The sequence below is a fragment of the Homo sapiens genome, chromosome X, assembly GCF_000001405.40.
Source record: "Homo sapiens chromosome X, GRCh38.p14 Primary Assembly".
Taxonomy (NCBI): Eukaryota; Metazoa; Chordata; class Mammalia; order Primates; family Hominidae; genus Homo; species Homo sapiens.
In genome coordinates, this window is record NC_000023.11 from 24,863,730 (window position 1) to 24,881,393 (window position 17,664).

General features: G+C 36.3%; 1 protein-coding gene across 10 annotated transcripts in view, besides 1 other annotated feature; it reads left to right on the top strand.

The window, feature by feature from the left end:
- The window catches only part of POLA1 (DNA polymerase alpha 1, catalytic subunit), a 303,069-nt gene that overhangs the window by 169,812 nt on the left and 115,593 nt on the right, over nucleotides 1-17,664 (top strand). The gene's annotated exons all lie outside the window — the stretch shown is intronic.
- Nucleotides 12,489-14,238: an enhancer, noted in NCBI's record as "VISTA enhancer hs118". NCBI's record gives its function as "enhancer in: midbrain (mesencephalon)[3/8]" and the evidence as "EXISTENCE:transgenic organism evidence [ECO:0001131][PMID:17130149]".

Below are 17,664 nucleotides of genomic sequence, written 5' to 3' on the forward strand. Positions count from 1 at the left end.
GGTGCTCCCGCAGTCTCTTGCTGGGCTCTCTCCTCATCTTCACAAGCTCCATATTGAGAAGTTTTTCCTCATAGTTAATCTAAACATTCTTCTCTCTGTTCTAGGCCTCACTTCTTACTACATACCTATGTTCAGTGTTACATGAGTATACCCACCTTCCTTTATGGTTTTTTCCCAAGTATTTTTAAGTAGCACTCATATCTCCCTTTCATTTTCGTTTTTCTGGAACTATTTATTTATTTATTTATTTATTTATTTATTTATTTATTTGAGATGGAGTCTCGCTCTGTCACCCAAGCTGGAGTGAAGTGGCACAATCTCGGCTCACTGCAACCTCTACTTCCCGGGTTCAAGTGATTCTCCTGCCTCAGTCTCGCGAGCAGCTGGGATTACAGGCGCCTACCACCACGCCTGGCTAATTTTTGTGTTTTTAGTAGAGATGGGGTTTTGCCATGTTGGCCAGGCTGGTCTTGAGCTCCTGACCTCAGGTGATCCGCCCGCCTCGGCCTCCCAAAGTACTAGGATTACAGGCGTGAGCCACCGCACCTGGCTGGAACTCTTTATTTTTAATCGTGATTGCTCTTTGTGGGTTAGATTATAGTGTATGTAAGCCAAATGAATTTGAGCAAATTTTTTACCTTAACTCTGTAGTTAGCATCCTATCCTATTTTGTATACCACTCTAGAATATAACGTACACTTTATACATATTTGTGAGTGCTATAGTGGTTTAATTAAATTTATGTAGCATTATAGCCAAACTCTTTATTCTGGCATTTGAGACATTATAAATCCAACCTTCCCTTTCCACAGACTCTATCATCCAGCAACACTGTCAAATTATCATTCCTCTAGACAGACCTCCTTGTTTTCACACAACTGCTGGGATTGTCGTCACCCACTTGCCATTTTTATCTTTTTCAATTCTCCTTCACCTTTAAGACCTAAACCCATCTCACTTCTAGGAAGCCTTTCGTGGACATCACAGCTATGGAATGTTTTTTTTTTTTTCCTCTGAATCCCTAAAGAACTTTAAAAGTATAACTTTTCTCCCCCCATTTTCTTTAATATAGTCTCTTATAGTCGTTCTTTTATTTGGCAAATCATTTTGTTCCCTATAAGGTTGTAGACTTCTGGAGAACAGGGGAAAGAAGAAAGACTAATATTTTTTTAGCTGCCAAACACTTGCTAAATATTTTTTACGTATGTACGTTTTTAAATGGTATCATTTAATTCTTGCAGCAACCCTGTGAGGTGGGTGGTATTTTTTCCATTTTTACAGGTAAGGAAGCTGAATCTTGTAGTAAACACAACCAATGTTAGAATGGTAATAATACATTGTAGAGCTGAGATTTAAGTTTGGGCCTCTCTGATTTAAAGCCTATATGCTCTTTTCAGAAAGCCTCCTCCATAAAAGAGTGGCAATTTGCTTCCTAATCTGCCAATTTACTAGAAAGTTCAAAAAACAGAATAGGTGTTCAGTAAATGATTAAATTTATGACTGTGGAAATCTGAATTGCTTTGACTTCATTTCTTTTACCTATCAGCTAGTGGTAATATGAATCAGCAATAAAATAGCCAAAGCCTTAGTAAGGGCCCTTTGTATTCTCACCAAAGGCTAGTAGTACATGAAAGGTTGACAGTTGTACTCCAACATTAAGGCTGTTTACTTGAGACAAGTTTTTTTTACTTGTTTGTCTGTTTTTAAGCTTTTCTCTTGTTGATTCCAACATTCACTGATATTGCTAAATGTCTCTTTTCTCACTTAGTATTTGTATTTCATTTTAAGAGAGTAAATTTCATTATATAATAGTAGCATGAATAATTTATGCCTCTGTCAAGGAACTATTAAAACACAGAGATTTTTAAATATGCATATTCTAAACTTCATATAAAAACTACGGAATGGAGTTTTTATTTCCTCTCTGAGTGTTTATTCAGGAGTAAACCTGGGCACTTACTAAAAAGCTATGGTCTTACTGACTTCAATTTAGGATAGAATGCTGAGTTGTAATTATGTCTATAGATAAGGAGAAATTGGTGTTTTATCTTTAGTAGAAAATCAGCTGATGTACTTTTTGGGGGCTTTTTACATTTTTTATTTAAAACAGGAGTTTTTATGAGGTGTATTTATTCTCAAAGAATTAATGATTATAAGGATTAAGAAGGATGATTGCCAACCTAAGAATGAAAAGAACTTTGATTTGATGAGCACAAGCAATGTGACTGAGCTTTGGGGTGACAAAAATACGATGTTTTAGGTATCTGGGGTTTCTTCTTATCAACTTCCACGCATATTGATAAGTTCAGCCTATTTTGTAAACAGTTACTAATGCCATAATGCATTTTCCCATATTTTCCATCTGAATTTTTACTATTATTGATTGAAGATTCAATTGAGAAATGTGTTTAGAACCCTGCTTTCCGTGGTAATCACAGGAGTCAGTGGGAAGACAAGAAAATTGTATTGAAAGAAATTGTGTGCGTGTGTGTTTTGTGTTTCAGCATAGATTATCTCTGCCAAAATAATAGCTGTCATTTTGTTTTTGTTATATTAGTGGCCCGTAGCTTACCACTACTCCTTTTGCCTTAGTTTTGCTTCTGACCGCTGGCTATTCCCATCAGCAAGAAGACCTTTTTAATTGAATGTCCAAATTTGAATGATTCTTGTCCTAATATCATTATAATCTTGATCCATTTCAAATTAGAGATCCCTAAGGTTGACTTCTCACCTCAGTTCAACAATCCTTTAACATTCAGAGACTTTGAAACTTCACTTCTGTTTAGAATTTCATATCATGCCCATCATGGGGGGAAAAGATGGAAAATGTATATGCTGAGCCTATAGGACCTCCTGCAGTGCTTATTAATCCTTTGTGGATCATTTGAAATGTTTCTAGTTTATTTAAGCTTTGCTGCTTGTATCAGATTGTTCCTACGAAAAAAGAAAAAGTGATCATGCTTTGAATTTTTAAAAATGATCTCACTTTCAAGCAAAAGCACTTTTATGCTCCATTAAAGTTGAATTTGCCAAACTCTTATGTCGCATTAACACAAGCTTTACTGGATAGATAAATGTGTTGTTCAAAGACCAACTTGAACTTTACCAAACTGCTTATTAAGATTTTTATCTTTATTCTTCTTATTTCTTAAATTATTTTAAAATAAACTAGTAAAATAGACTAGATAGGCCTAAAAGTACTACTTTAATGACAAAGTAATTTCTTCATTTGAGGTAAAAAAAATTAGTATAGATCGTAAGCTAATTGTTTATGAAGGCAAAATTAACGAAAATATTTTGATCACTTTTATATTTTTATATTTGTTTTATATAGTATCAATATCACAATAAAACTTGATTTTTTTTTAATTTGCATAAGTGATTTATTGTTTTGACATTTATAATTTTTGTTCTAGTCTATCATGCATCTTTGAAAATTCAATATTTTCTTGAAATGTTTAGTAGGTCAGCCAATAAATTGACTTTTTTTTATCCTTCTCAATTTAGTGGGTTTTTTCAATATGTGTAGGACATCTTCTGTTTTCTATGAATGATAGTGTTATATTCTTTGTTTCTATTTATTTTGTGACGATTTTAGCTTGGAAATAATCTTGGAATGTGTATCTTTTTGACCTAGAGTTACTCGGAAAGTTCTAGTCTCATTTGTACTATGTTTTCTGGCTCCCTAATACAATTATAAGGACTTAGTCTTTTCATTTTTAGTCTCCTTAGCCTTGAGGATTTAATTTAATGTGTTTGTTCTTCAGAAAGAATGTAAGCTAGTTTTCTACTTGAAACGTCTTTTTGTATTTTTAAATACATGAAACCTTTACAGAGGATTTGTTTTATCAAAAAATAACTTACATGCTCTTTTTTAAAGCATTAATTTACATCAATATTTATAGTGAACTTGAAAAAATATTTTAATGGTAATGAAAATATAATTTAATATCAAGCTAAATCTTTTTCAGCCCTCTTAGATTCCCCATTTTTAGCTGTTGAGTCACTGGAGTTCCTAATAAAGAAAAATGCGTTTTTAGGAAATTACTTTTCTAAGGCAAACAATAAATTGTACACACAGAGGGAAAGGAAAGGAGAACTTTTCACCTGCCTCGTGTAGGGAAAAATCTAAACAATTACATGAAACACTTAGCAAGTTATTTTAATATTACAGCTTTTCCATTTCTGAGAATGATGATACCTTGTTAGTAAGAAACTTTATTAACACTGACTTCTAGTGTAAAAATCTGCCCTGGATTCATTTTTCACTAATTCACTCTATTATTTTCTCCTAGTGTTCCCATGACCTTTCAGAAATGTGTAGTTCGTATTTTGTGCTGTACGAAAGCTGCCCCTTAGGTTGCATTGAGTAATGCAAAGTTGAATTATGAACATAATGGCAGTTCTCTGTGGCATTTCCAGTTCATGCTTACTTTTAGTTTGCTAAATTCATAAGTGAAATGTTTTTTAATGTTGTCCACGTTAGGGGAAAGGTTAAATAATGCTGAGCTTTTCTTCGTGAGCAAACGGGAAGAGTCATTTTGGTTGTTTGGTAGAAGATTGTGTTCCCATATTTTCATTCTTTGGCCAGCATAGATGGTGCACTGGATTGTTTTGGAGCTTTCAGACAGGACTTACATACATCTAAAATATTTCATAAACTGCTCGGGTAGCCAGAGTATTCTTGTATCACTGTGCAATAGCACTAAAAATCATCCTGGGATAAGAAATGTGAAGCATAACATTACTTCCCAAAGTCATGTACTTTGAGAAGCCTTGAGAAGAGGCAAGAGAGTAACAGTATCTATGAATTCTCTGAAAACTCTTGTTTCCAGTAGGAAGCCTGGTTACCCACCAAAAAGTAGGTGATGAGAATTTTTTTTAACTTCAAGCATAATCTTTCTAAAAATGTAATTTTACTTGAGATTTGCCTCTCATTAACCAACAAACCATATATTTTGGTCACATATTTAATGAATGCGATCATCATTGAGTTGTTTGCTGTGAAGGGACATAGAGAAGATGCACTGTTTTCCATTTTTCCAAGTAATATGGGTCACATCATAACCTGTAAGTAATCCATCACTAGGCAGTGGCTCCACAGCATTCGGATAAAAATGTTTTAAACATTCCTGAAAGAAGAAAAGCCCACAAATACTGCCCTGTATATTGCTGGGAGAGAAGATATGAGTGCTTGTATGTGGGAATTATTCTTTTGTCTTTTTAAGGCAGGTCTCACTCTGTCACCCAGGCTGGAGTGCAGTGGTGTGAACACAGCTCACTGCAGCCTTGACCTCCTGGTCAAGCGAACCTCCCAACTCCGCCTCTCAAGTAGCTGGGACTACAGGCGTGTGCCACCATGCCCAGCTAATTTTTAAATTTTTTATAGAGACAGGGTCTCACCATGTTGCCCAGGCTGGTGTCAAAACTCTGAGCTCAAGCGATCCTCCCGCCTTGGCCTCCCAAAGTGCTGGGATTACAGGCATGAGCCACTCTGCCTGGCCAGGAATTACTCTTGATCACACAAGTCTTTTATGGCAGTTTGGGACACTGGTCTTACATGTTGCTCACAGTGTCATCCCATGAAAGAGGCAGGGTAGGTACACTTGCAGTATCCATGGGAACACACCCAAAGGCTGATAGGGTGAACGGCTTGCCCAAGGCACATGGCTCCTGAAGCAGTGAGGTGAGAAGAGATCTTTGAGTTGGCTCCTGCCCTTCCATTTTGCCACAGGGCTTCTTTATCTACCTCCTGCAAGGAGGGCACAGTGAAGGAAGGTTCGGATGGGTTTTTGGACTCTCACAGGCAGCCTAGCCTGAGGGAGGCTAGAGTGTTCAGCCATCTGAATTAATCTCGATATCAGAGAGTTTAGTTCCCTCAGTGTAAAATTAAAAGAATATTTCTTCATCTGCTGCAATGCATCAGACACTATCCTAGACTATAGAGGCTCAAAGTTGAATGATAGCATCTCAGAGCTCTTGGGGGCTGAGGTGGTGGCCTTCTGTCTCCCTTTCTTCTACCTCTTTCCTTCTTTCCTCCATCCACAAACTTTTTGTCCTCTTATATATTAGCACGTTTGGACCTCTTCCTGCACTTAAAGTCATGCCTACCTTCATGCGCTCCAGGTGTCCCAGGTAAAAAGAGCCATTCCCCAAGCGATGCTGTTGAAACTGTTTTAATATAGACCCAGCATGTTGCTTGCCCTTAGCATTCATTTTAATTATTTGAAGAAAGTGATTCATACAAATATGTACAAAGTACAGCCCTTTTGAAGGTTTTTCACTTTAACAGTGACTTTACATATTATTTTGATAGTGATGTTCCTGGTATGGGCAGCGAGGATGTAAGCTGGGCCAGAAGAAGGATGAATCCTCTCTGCTTAGGGAATCAGTTTGCTGGACATGTGAATAGCTATATCCCCACTCCAGATAACTGTACCCACATAGTGTTATGATCTTCAATGTTTTAGTGACATTGTAAATGTAGCAATAGAGTAGAGAGTCTTCATCATTTCATACTGGTATGTAAAATGCCCCAGGTATGTGACCACTTGAAGCACCCGGCTTTTGTATGCTCAGTAACCTTGTGTACAGTTGGTGACCAGTTAGCGCAATATCTTAGTCCTTCACTCATCCCCAAGGAATTCAAAAAATTCATCCTGTTACGAGTGGCTTTCTTTCCTTGACAATAGTTTGAAGTCCAGCATGTAAAAATGTAAATCTCTCTGCTGGCTTCTAATGTGCAAGGCCTTCTGAGAGTGTTCCCAGGGAAGAAGAGTTGATTAGGTAGAGACTTCTCTGTTCTTAGTAAATTAATGACCTACTCCAGGCCCATTTTCTTCTTTCCTGGAGGAACACTCAGTGACAGTGCTTATGCAGCCATGTCAAATTCTTTAGTTTTATTATATAAAACATCAAACGAGGAGCCAAAGAGAATCTTTTCCTAACAGCATCTCCTAAGCCCTAGAATGGAATCAGAAGTAAGGCAATGGACTAGCAAATGGACAGGCATTCCTAAAATCATCTTAGTGTCGATGGGAGGCATGTTAGGCTTGCCACAGATGAGTGAGACATGAAAGTAGATTCAGGGGCTTGTTAGAAGATTCAGAGCTAGGTCAAGAGAGCTCTGGAGATGAATCTAAAGAACTTTTCTTTGAACCTGTTTCAATAACACATGAAAACATCTCCTAAGATGGCAGATCTTTTCCTTACGGTTCTTGCAATTTAGAAATTGTAGGCCCTGGGAATGTGTATTAAAATCCGTAGCAACCAAAGTATTCAGAGGGGAATAAGGTATTTTGGGCTTTGAGAGGGGCAGCATAATGGGCAGATGTCAGGATTAACAACTAATGATTGATACATATATATATTTTAAGCCTTTTATCTGTCATTGTAGCACTCTGCCTCAACCTGGCTTCTATATGTTTCACAACTTGATAGAATATGCCATTTAGTCTCATGATTTATACTTATTAAACCTTATTTGTATAAATACATGCCCATTTATCACTGTCACACCAGTGAGGACCTGCTCAAACACAGATTGCTGGGTGCCACCCTTAGAGTGTCTGATTCTTGGTCTGGGGTAAAGACCAGAGAATGTGCATCTCTAACAAGTTCCCAAATGATGCTGATGTTGCTGATCTCAGGCCCACATTTTGAGAGCCACTGCTGTAGACATTCACCGACATATATTACTCAGCCGGGAGCACTTGAATGAAAACAGTAGTAACACTAAATCCTAACTTAATGGTGGAGTAATGAGATTTAGTTAAGAGGAAATACTTTCAGTGCTAGGAATGTGTATATTTTGCTAACCTCAGTTATGGATAAATCATGAAGGCTTATGGGGAACCTTATTTTTTTTTTTTTAAATTATGTTGTAGAATTAGAGAATTCTCACACTTGAACAGACCTTACAGTCATCTATCCTGATGCAACACCCATCTTTATGAAAGAAGGGACTGAGGCCCTTAAAATTCAGCTCTGCCCCATTTCAAGTTGTGGTTTTTAGAGGCAGAGCCAGGAGAAATGATTGAATACTATAGTTTAATTTAAATAAGACTTATGTTAGGGAAGGGATCTTTTAAGAGGACTAATTTCCCAAATATAAAAGGAGCTATTTTAATATTTAGTCAACCATTCAATGTCCTTTAGCTAAAGTTTCAGTCCCAAAGTTGATTTTAGGCACTGTGAGACAAAGGTCTCTACAGAATCTGTAATGATTTTAATAAAGTTACTTTTCTTCAGTTGCAGAGATTCCTGGGTGGCTTAGTTCTTAGGTCCATGGACTTAGATCCTTGGGAAATCTGCTAGAGGCAGCCCGGTGGAAATGTTGATAAATATCACATTTTGAAAATATTAACCGTTGTAATTAGACCAAAAAAAGGAATATATAAAAATTGGAAGAAGGGGGAAATTATTATTTACAGATCATTCTAACATGGAAAATCCAATGAAATCAACCAAGAAACTATCACAGACAAAAAATTTTAATAAGGTTACTAGTTATAAAATCAGTGCTAAAAATCAGTAGCTTTCAGCTGTATACACACAACCGATTAGAAAACATAATGAACTCTCATTTATAAATGAGATTATAAATCTCATTTATAATACAGGTTAAAAAGAGGAAATACCTAGGAATAAACTTAACAAGAAATGTGCTAGATATATTTGAACTCTGAATGGCTTAAAAGAAGACTTGGGTAAATGGCAAAGCATATATTCTTGGCTAGGACCACTCAACATTTTAGGATTGTCAGTTCCCCTAAGTTTATCCATAAATTTAAAGCTTCCTCAATTTTTAAAAGAAAATCGCAGGAAAATTCTAACAGAGAAAATGACCCACCAGTCCTACCGGTTTTTACAATTAGGATATTTAAAATATTTTGGTGCAAAAATATTTGGTGATTTCAGTGGAGCAACTATAGAAAGCCCATAAATAGACCCAAAGTTGCATTTTGTTTTTTAAAAGGGGGTAGTTCACGTCAGTAGGAATAATCATCTGGAAAAAAATACAGTTGATTTCTTCCTTGTTCCTTACACTGAAACAACTTTCAGAAGGATCAAAAACTTAAACTTAGAAAATGGAACTATAAAAGTAATGTTGTTAATAATTGTGGAATTGAGAAGACTTTTTAAATAATTGAGTTTATTTTTTAGAGCAGTTTTAGGTCACAGCACAATTTCAGAGTAAGGTACAGAGATTTCCCATATACTCCCTGCCCCACACACGTATAGTCTCTCTCATTATCAACATCCCCTGCCATAGTATGTTTGTTACAACTGATGAACCTATATTGATACATCATCACCCAGAGTCCATAGTTTATGTTGAGGTTCATTCTTGGTGCTGTGCATTTTATAAGTTTGGACAAATGTTTCTAACATACCTCCACCATCACAGTATCCTACAGAGTGCTTTCACTGCCCTAAAAATCCTCTGTGCTCCACTTATTTTGGAAGACTTTTAGGTAATATATAGCCTAGGAAAGGGTATAGGGAATGGAGCACTCTCATACACTGTTGGTGGGCATGAAAAATGGTACACCTTTTGGACAACAATTTGGCAACATCATCAAGATTGTAAATGAACATACCGTTCTACTTTGCAATTCTAATTTGGGTATCTCTCCTTACACATGTACAGTCCTTACAGATATTATCAAAGGTACTATACAAGGATATTGCTTGCAGCGTTATAATAGTAATAGTAAGAGACTGAAGACAACCTGTTGTTGATCAGGAGAGAATTCCTTAGATTATTACTATCATATAATAGAATTTTGTGCAACCGTTAACAAGAACACTGCAGATCTATATGTACTGACAGGACATAATTTCCTCCACTTTTCAGTGAAAAAAGCAGGATTTAGAACAGTGTATATGATAAACTTTCATTTGTATTTTTTAAAAAATTAGAGATATTCATAATATGATAATACATTTTAATTAACCTGTTTGGGTGTGGTGGCTCAAACCTGTAATCCCAGCACTCTGTGAGGCTGAGGCAGGAGGATTGCCTGGGCAATATAGTGAAACCCTGTCTGTATTAATAATATTTAAAATTTAAAAAATTTTAAATTAACCCAATATATCCAAAATGGCATTTTATTCTGTAATGAGTGTTAAAAATACCACTAAACTATTTTATAGTCTCCTTTTTTGAACTAAGTCTTTGAAATTTGCTGTATATTTTACACTTGCAGCCCATCTCAATTTGGTCTAGCCATATTTCAAGTGCTCAACAGCCACATACAGCGACTGGCTCATATATTAAGTAGCATAGATGTAGTATGTAAAAAGCACTGGACTAGAAGTTCAGTCTACATGCTGTGTGACAGTGTGCAAAAAACGTACTTTCTTCTGGGTCTCATTTTCCTCACATACAACACAAAAGATTAGACAAGAGCTCTAAAGTCTCTTCCAATTTTAAAATTTAGGGTTTAAATATATCATTTCTTATTACTTGTCAAAGTCAAGGGTGTAATTGTGGTTGCTTTCCATAGACACTGTTTTCACCAGCACTCCTAAAATTCTGTGATTCTAAGTAAAGCACATATTTTAAGAACTATATTTTATTGTCAGATTGAGGTTGTTTATTTGTTTAAAGGAAGAATGTTATTAAGCTATGTACATGATGTAAACCATTTAGTTCTTGTAATACAATTAAGTCAGATTTGAGGCTTTGATAATTCTAGTGCTGCATGGAAAACTTGGAAGAGCAAGAGTGAACCACCAAAATAATATCTAAAGAAAGAGTAAATGTAGAAAGAGAAAAAGAGTTGAGAGATAATTTTTTAAGTACAATTCTGTTTATGAAGTTCATTGTTCAGAAAATAATCACCGGTAGTTCTTTTTGAACAAGAGAGAGAATGAGAATAATAAGGTTCTCAACCTTAGCTGCACATTAGAATCACTTGGGGGAACTTCTTAACATCCCAAAGCTCATTTCGTATCCCAGGCTGATGTTCTCCAACTGAGGTCCCAAACCAGCAGCGGCAGTATCACCTGGGAACTTGTTAGAGATGCAAATTCTCAGGCCCCACCCAGGACCTACTGAATCAGACACTCTGGGGGTGGCGCTGTGTTGTAACGCTGCCCTGGTGATTCCAGTGTGCCACCAGAGTTAAGAATTCTGGAGCAAGAAGTATTTGGAACAGGGTTAACAGATGGGTTTTATATTGAGTGCCAGCTTCCATCCTATAGTGGTCTTGAGGACAGAGTTGGAAACGGAACTGCAATATACCTGCTAAGTGTTTGCCATTCCTGATTTAGTGATTTGGGTAATTTATTAACATTATAGAAGGTTGGATGTTGCAATCACTCGTAGATGAGCCTTTCTAAACAAATATATGTCAAGCATCTCAGCCAGTTGGCAAAGAAAAAAGGCGAAAAGGGAGGAAAAGCAGGAGAAAAGAAAAAAATCACATTGGAACAGAAGCCACAAAAGAAGGGGGGAGGAATATACAAGGTAAAATGTTATAAGTGAAGAAATTCCAGGTAGATTATAAAATATTTATATGTAAGGGTTTCTTGAGTTCAAGTGTGATGGGGATTTTAGGCCCATTTCAAGATCTATCATCAATTCTATCTGATCAAAAAGTACCAAAGGCTTGTTCAGCCCTTTAATTTGGCATTAAGGGTTATATTTCTTCTTAACATTCAGACTTTTGATAGGAATGCACTTAATACAGGTATGGTAAATTTGGAGTGAACTAAGCCAGAAAATAAAATATATTTTCAAAGTGTAAAGAAGTTATCACTGACTGAGAAGGAGTTAATGTGTCATATATCCTTTTGATTTCTACTCTTTGAGAGAAATCACAGTATCTATAATTTCGGAGGCATATTCGGAAGAATGTTAAATTGTGATTTCTCTATGCTGAATCTTAGAGATCTGTCAGGGAGTCTTCAGCCCTGACAAAATAAGAATGGACCCATTATAGTATCAGGTCCATTTGATTTTTCAAAAGTTAAGGGAAATATGCAGATCGTTTCAGAGACTTCTCTTTTTGCTCTTGCTTGTTATAAGACAGATGAAGGGAAGCAAACTGGGCTGTGTTTAGAATGCATCTGGAGCTGCTTCTCTCTCGAGATCTCGGCAGTATAACTTCTGCAAGCCCTTTCTGTGTGTATTTTTCTTTTCTCATCCTGAAATATTCCATCTTGCATGAGAAAGTCAGCTTTGATAATTTCCAAAAGCTAAGTATTATGACAGAATTTGTGCCTCTTAGAAAAAAACTGCTCCTTTACTATAAAATAGAACCTACCTTTTATACCTGAGTAAAAAATTCTGATAAAACTTTTCTAATCGTATTTATTATTGAAAAGATTATTTTTGAGGTGGTGTTTACTAAAATATGTTGATTTTTATATTAATTTCTGAATACTCAGTTTATATTTTTAGATTGTTTTGTGAATTGGGATCTCTGAGTATAAAGTGGTTTTCAGCACATTGGTGATATTGAACATCTTCCTCAAATAGCAAGCATATGCATTTCAACAGCTTTCGGGACAGTACTACAGTTAATAATTTCTTTACAAGACAAATGTATGCTTTTTTATTGTTAGCATTATTTTCTCATCTTATGTTCTGGCATTTAAATTATGAAACTTCATCTCGGCATGTAGACTTACCTTGTGTTGCCAAGAGGAAAGAAGTGGCTTTTCTGCAAAGCCAAATAGTTTTTACTTTATTGTCTGCTATGAAACAGCTGCTGATTCCAGGAAAATGCCGTCTCATCATTGGGCCTGGGGTGTCCAAAAGAGGCAGGAAAAAAAAATGACTGTAGCTCCCTGTCTGCCCTGGCACTCTCCTCCTTTCTCTCATTTTCATTGCCATGAAGAGCATGAGAACAATATTCTGCAATTAAGGATTCCATTAAGTTGAAGAAAAGAGCAAATGGGGGATGTTTGTTCTCTAAGCTGAAAAAATTTGTCTGGGGTCGGGGGGGGGGATAGTGGTAGTGGTATGGAGAGAGGTGGGTGGAGAGACGAAGTCAGGGCTGTTTGTTGAATATACTGTTAAGGACTGTTACCATCCTAATTAATCAAGTTAGAAATTACAGCTGTAGTCGGTTTCCCCCCAATTCTTGTTATCAATTTTCTTCTCTTTTGAGACAAAGCAAATATAAATTTTGTGTTCATTTGTCATTCGTTCTTTGACTTCAGCATCTCTGAAAATAACAATGTAGCACAAAAGCCCAGTATTTACCTAGTTGTAATGTGGGTTGCCATGGTGTTTTGCAAATTATTGCAATTATGTTCACCATGCGAGTCGCCCTTGGTAACTGGCGAAAAAACTGATAATCCTGTTTTGAACAAAAGGTCAAATTGCTGAATAGAAAGTCTTGATTAACTAAAAGATGTACAAAGTGGAATTATTTCCTACCATTCAGAAATAGTTCTTGATCGGGTTTGGGGGAGGGGGTGAGTAAGTACATCTGATTACTGAAGTACAAAGCATTGAAAGGATGTTGTCTTGAGCCTTTCATGTAGTCTTAATGGTGGCTTTTTTGTCAAATTTACCCATTTGCGGCATTGAAAGAGGCAGCTGCATTTAAGCTGGAGAGACGGTGCTTTTTCAAGAGTTCAGTGCATGGAAAGTTCTCAGCAGTATCTGCAGTTTACTAGTAGCCCCTGGTCTATTAAAACTGATGTGCCGCATTTGAGCCCATTGCTCTCAGTACTTGTGAACCCCTCTGGCTGATGATCTAATAAAGTGCTCTTACTGGACAATCTCTGATCAGCTACTTAAAAAGGAGGCTGGAGGAGGGGGCCTGAGGGAGAAGCCTCACAGGCAGTGAGTCTTGGAGCAGGCCAGAAGAGTAAAGACAAGTGGCTAAACTGAAAGGTTTGTCACCATGATGATTTGTGCTAAGGCGTTTGCCACAGGGTTTTGGTTTTTGTGCCCCAGATCTCCCAACTGTGATCATGCTTTTTTTCTGAAGAGAAATTTTAGTTTTAAGTTAGATAAGAGATTAGAAGTGTCTCTCTGAATGTTAAAATCTACCTTGCAATTGTTTCTTAAATTATGGCCATTCAGAAAATATATAATCCTACATTCATGTAAAACCAAAAGTTTCCCATGTTGCAGCCAAAGGTTAGATGGATTTCTTCTCTTCTGAATCTGGCAGAACATCTGCAGGGAGTGAATTTTGGAGGGAGGGAGTTTTTTTTTGTTTTTTTTTTTGTTTTTTTTTTAGTGACCACCTGAAAAATCAATTCTCAAAACTTTTGAGAGTGTGTGAAAGTGGCATGAAAGCAAAGCAAACCTTAACAAGTTTGTGGGTTTACATTCTACATCACCTAGCAACCTCCTGACTCAGCCAGATCTCTTGTCTACCCTTAGTTCTGTTTACAGACTATTCAAACGGCCCTTCGAAACCATGAAAGATATTCAGTTTCATTAGTACCATTCTCAAGGAGAAAATAATTAAAGTTAAATGAACAAACATTGCCTGGTGATAGTTTGAACTCCATTCTGATTTTAAGATGTCCTTTGAGGCAGTAGTAGCTATAGTTCAGTTTTAACATTTGTCGTTCACTACCCAAAGGCATATCACTTGAAACCATACCAATAAATACTAGTCTCTGAGCAAACAAACAATAAAAATTACTTTTAGCTAGACTTGAGCAAAGAAAAACTCTTCTGGTAAGAAGGTTTTAAGCATGCATGCCATTCCAATTGAATTTTGTTTTATTTGATTCTTACCCCAGGACATCTGAGTTGATCTGTGTGCACACTGAATAAAGGCAGGGGAGAGGGCGTGGGGAACAAGGCACCTTTCTTTAAAACTGATTTATTACCTACCTTCAGAGATCCACCATCATAAAGAAAGGTATTCAAATCATATTCCATAAAAGACTGGGTGCATTTTAGTGAATGGCTTAATTTAACAAATGATACTAATACTACTAATACATACCCTGTCACTTTCTCATTGAGAATTGCTTATGTGATTAAATGGACCTATTTTTGAAATTTTAGATTTAGTAAAAAAAAAAAAAAAAATTTTTTTTAAGAACAGACTATTTTTTTTCATGTGCCCTTTCTTTCCCCATAAGCACATTCCCTGAAAATTTATCTTGGCAGCAAGCATACACATGGTATAGCTCAGAATATTTTTCAGCTGTGTTAGTGATTTAATTATATTGCAAGCTCTTGGCAAAACTGTCTCCTCGTTAATAATTCTGATTATAAGAACAATATACACTTGTTGTAGAAAATTTTGAAAATACAGAAATAGAAGAAGAAACCACAGAGATTACTAGTGATAGCATTGTAGAGTATTTCCTTCCAGTCTTTTTTTTGTGCATATAGTGATGAAACCAAACCTTGAGTTCACTTTTGAAGTTTATTCATTATTGTGTGTACATAGCTAAGGTGGTGGTTTTTTTCAGAAGTGAAGACTTGACAGGCAGGAATGGCGTTGGAAGTAATGAACAATTTTTCTTAGAGGTTTCATCACTAAAACATTAATATAAGCACCAGAGTAACCATTTTACCATCTCATTCTATTTGATTCTTTCCTCCTTTCCCTTGTTGAAATGACTATGTGCCTTACCTGACACATCCATTTATTATCATTCATGTTAGAAAGTCAGACATTCATTACAGTTGGAATGTTACATCCCCAAGTCACTTGTAGCTTCATATAGGGGGAAAAAAGTATTTTCTGAAAAGATTTGTAATATAATAGAGATTAATGGAATGTGGAAAGGAAAATGCTTTCGGTTTCTCATATAAAATGAAAGCAGGGTGGCTAGAAAATCTTGTATTCTTGTTATTTGTATTTTGTTAGATCTCTAACATCCACAGTACATGACTGGGTTGCATGAGCTCTTTGTGTTTTGTTGACAGTTGACAGACAAAGCAAAATTATTCCTGAAGCAAGGTACTGTGTACTTAGTTGTGACCTATTATAGCCTAGGAATGTAGCTTGCTTTTGAGTTGGATGAATAGGGAGAGTATTTTACAGAATAGACTTGAATATACTAAGAGAGGTTTTTTAGTTGCCCATACAGAAAGATACATGTCCTCTATTGAACTTTTTTCCCCAAAATGTAATTTTCCATATAAAGTCTTTTAAGTATATTTTCCCTGGTTGCTTGCATGGAGACAGTTTTAACTGTTCTGGTATTGTCCTCTAGGGGTAAAATACAATTGCTGGTAATTGTTGGCCTTCTGTGCTCACAGTATAACGAGAGAAGATGGCTTGCATGGGGGCTCTTTAATGTACCTCAGGTACATCTTCTGATGCTCAAGCTCTGATTGCAAATTAAAATAGCAAGGCTCTGTATTGGATTTGATGTGAGGCAAAGCAGACCAAGTCGCTAATTTATCATGTAATATACAATCGCTGAGGCTGGAATTTGTCCACTTGTAGTGCTATTCTGTGTGTTTAAATGAGGACCACTGTTTGCATCCAACCTATCATAACAGTTTGGGAGTGCTCCATTATCCTTTCAGCAAACTGATGGCAGAGTCTGGTCCTTGTACAAATGATAAGATCAATAAGTTTCAAATAACTTGGATGAAATGACATATGACTGTTCATTTAAAGAGATGTCTTACTTAAAAAATCAATTTTAATAATATTTAAGATTCTTACATTGACCGATGAGGCACTTTCTACTTCTGTTTTGATAATTTTGTTCAAAATATTCTTGTATTAACTTCGGTGAATAGTTAGTTTATGTATTTATTTTTCCTGATTTACTCTTTCATCTCCTACCCTAGTACCTTTCTGGGACTTAATAATCACTCTTTGACATGCCAGCATGCTGCAGTGTAGAAGATTTAACTTTAAAAGCAAAATTATATTCCTGTTAAAACTTCCCCTGGAGATCTTAGGGAAATTTTCTCCCAGTTTTGGGTACAAATGTGGGTCAGAAAGCAATTTGTTTTTTGATATTTCTGGAAATTCCAAATCACAACATGTCATTCTTCAAAAGCAGCTGTGGGCCCATACTGTGCACTATCTATAAGGAGACCCATTTTTTGCCACTGGGGATAATTCTGTGGCAGAAAAATGTGCCTGCAAGGGAACCCCGGAACATTTATAAATGGTTTAGGGTGAAAAGAGAGTCTGATGTTCTCAGAGTACATCTAGTTTTGGTATAGGGGTGGTTAATGGCCATTATTGAAAACTAGTAATAATCTGATGAACTCAAAGCATGCATGCTGCCAGACCCCGTCCTGTGACCCTGTCACTGCATTCCTGGTGAGCCATTACAATTTAAACTAAATCGTACGTCACTGCAGAACCATGCTGTCTCTTGAAAATCCGTGAATCCGGAAATAAAGCAAAGACAGCCTCCTCTTCCCCTGCTGCCTGTTTTGCCGTCTATATCTTCACTATATTTTAGTTTGATCAGGAAAAAAATACGAAAATTTCACTTATGTTGACTACACAGTTGTAATATTTTGCATTCAAATTGAGAAGCAGCACCACCTAATCTTACTGTTTATCCATTATTTTAGTTCTGCGTTTTGTAATAACACCAGATGGACACTGACCAGGCTCTTTCCTGGTTAAAATGGTGCATTTTTAATAGTGCACTGTCAGCTATAGCTTAGCAATAATGTTCCCCAATACCAGAGACAGGATAATAACAATATTTTACATTTACTCAACATTTTTGTGAGTTTTCTTA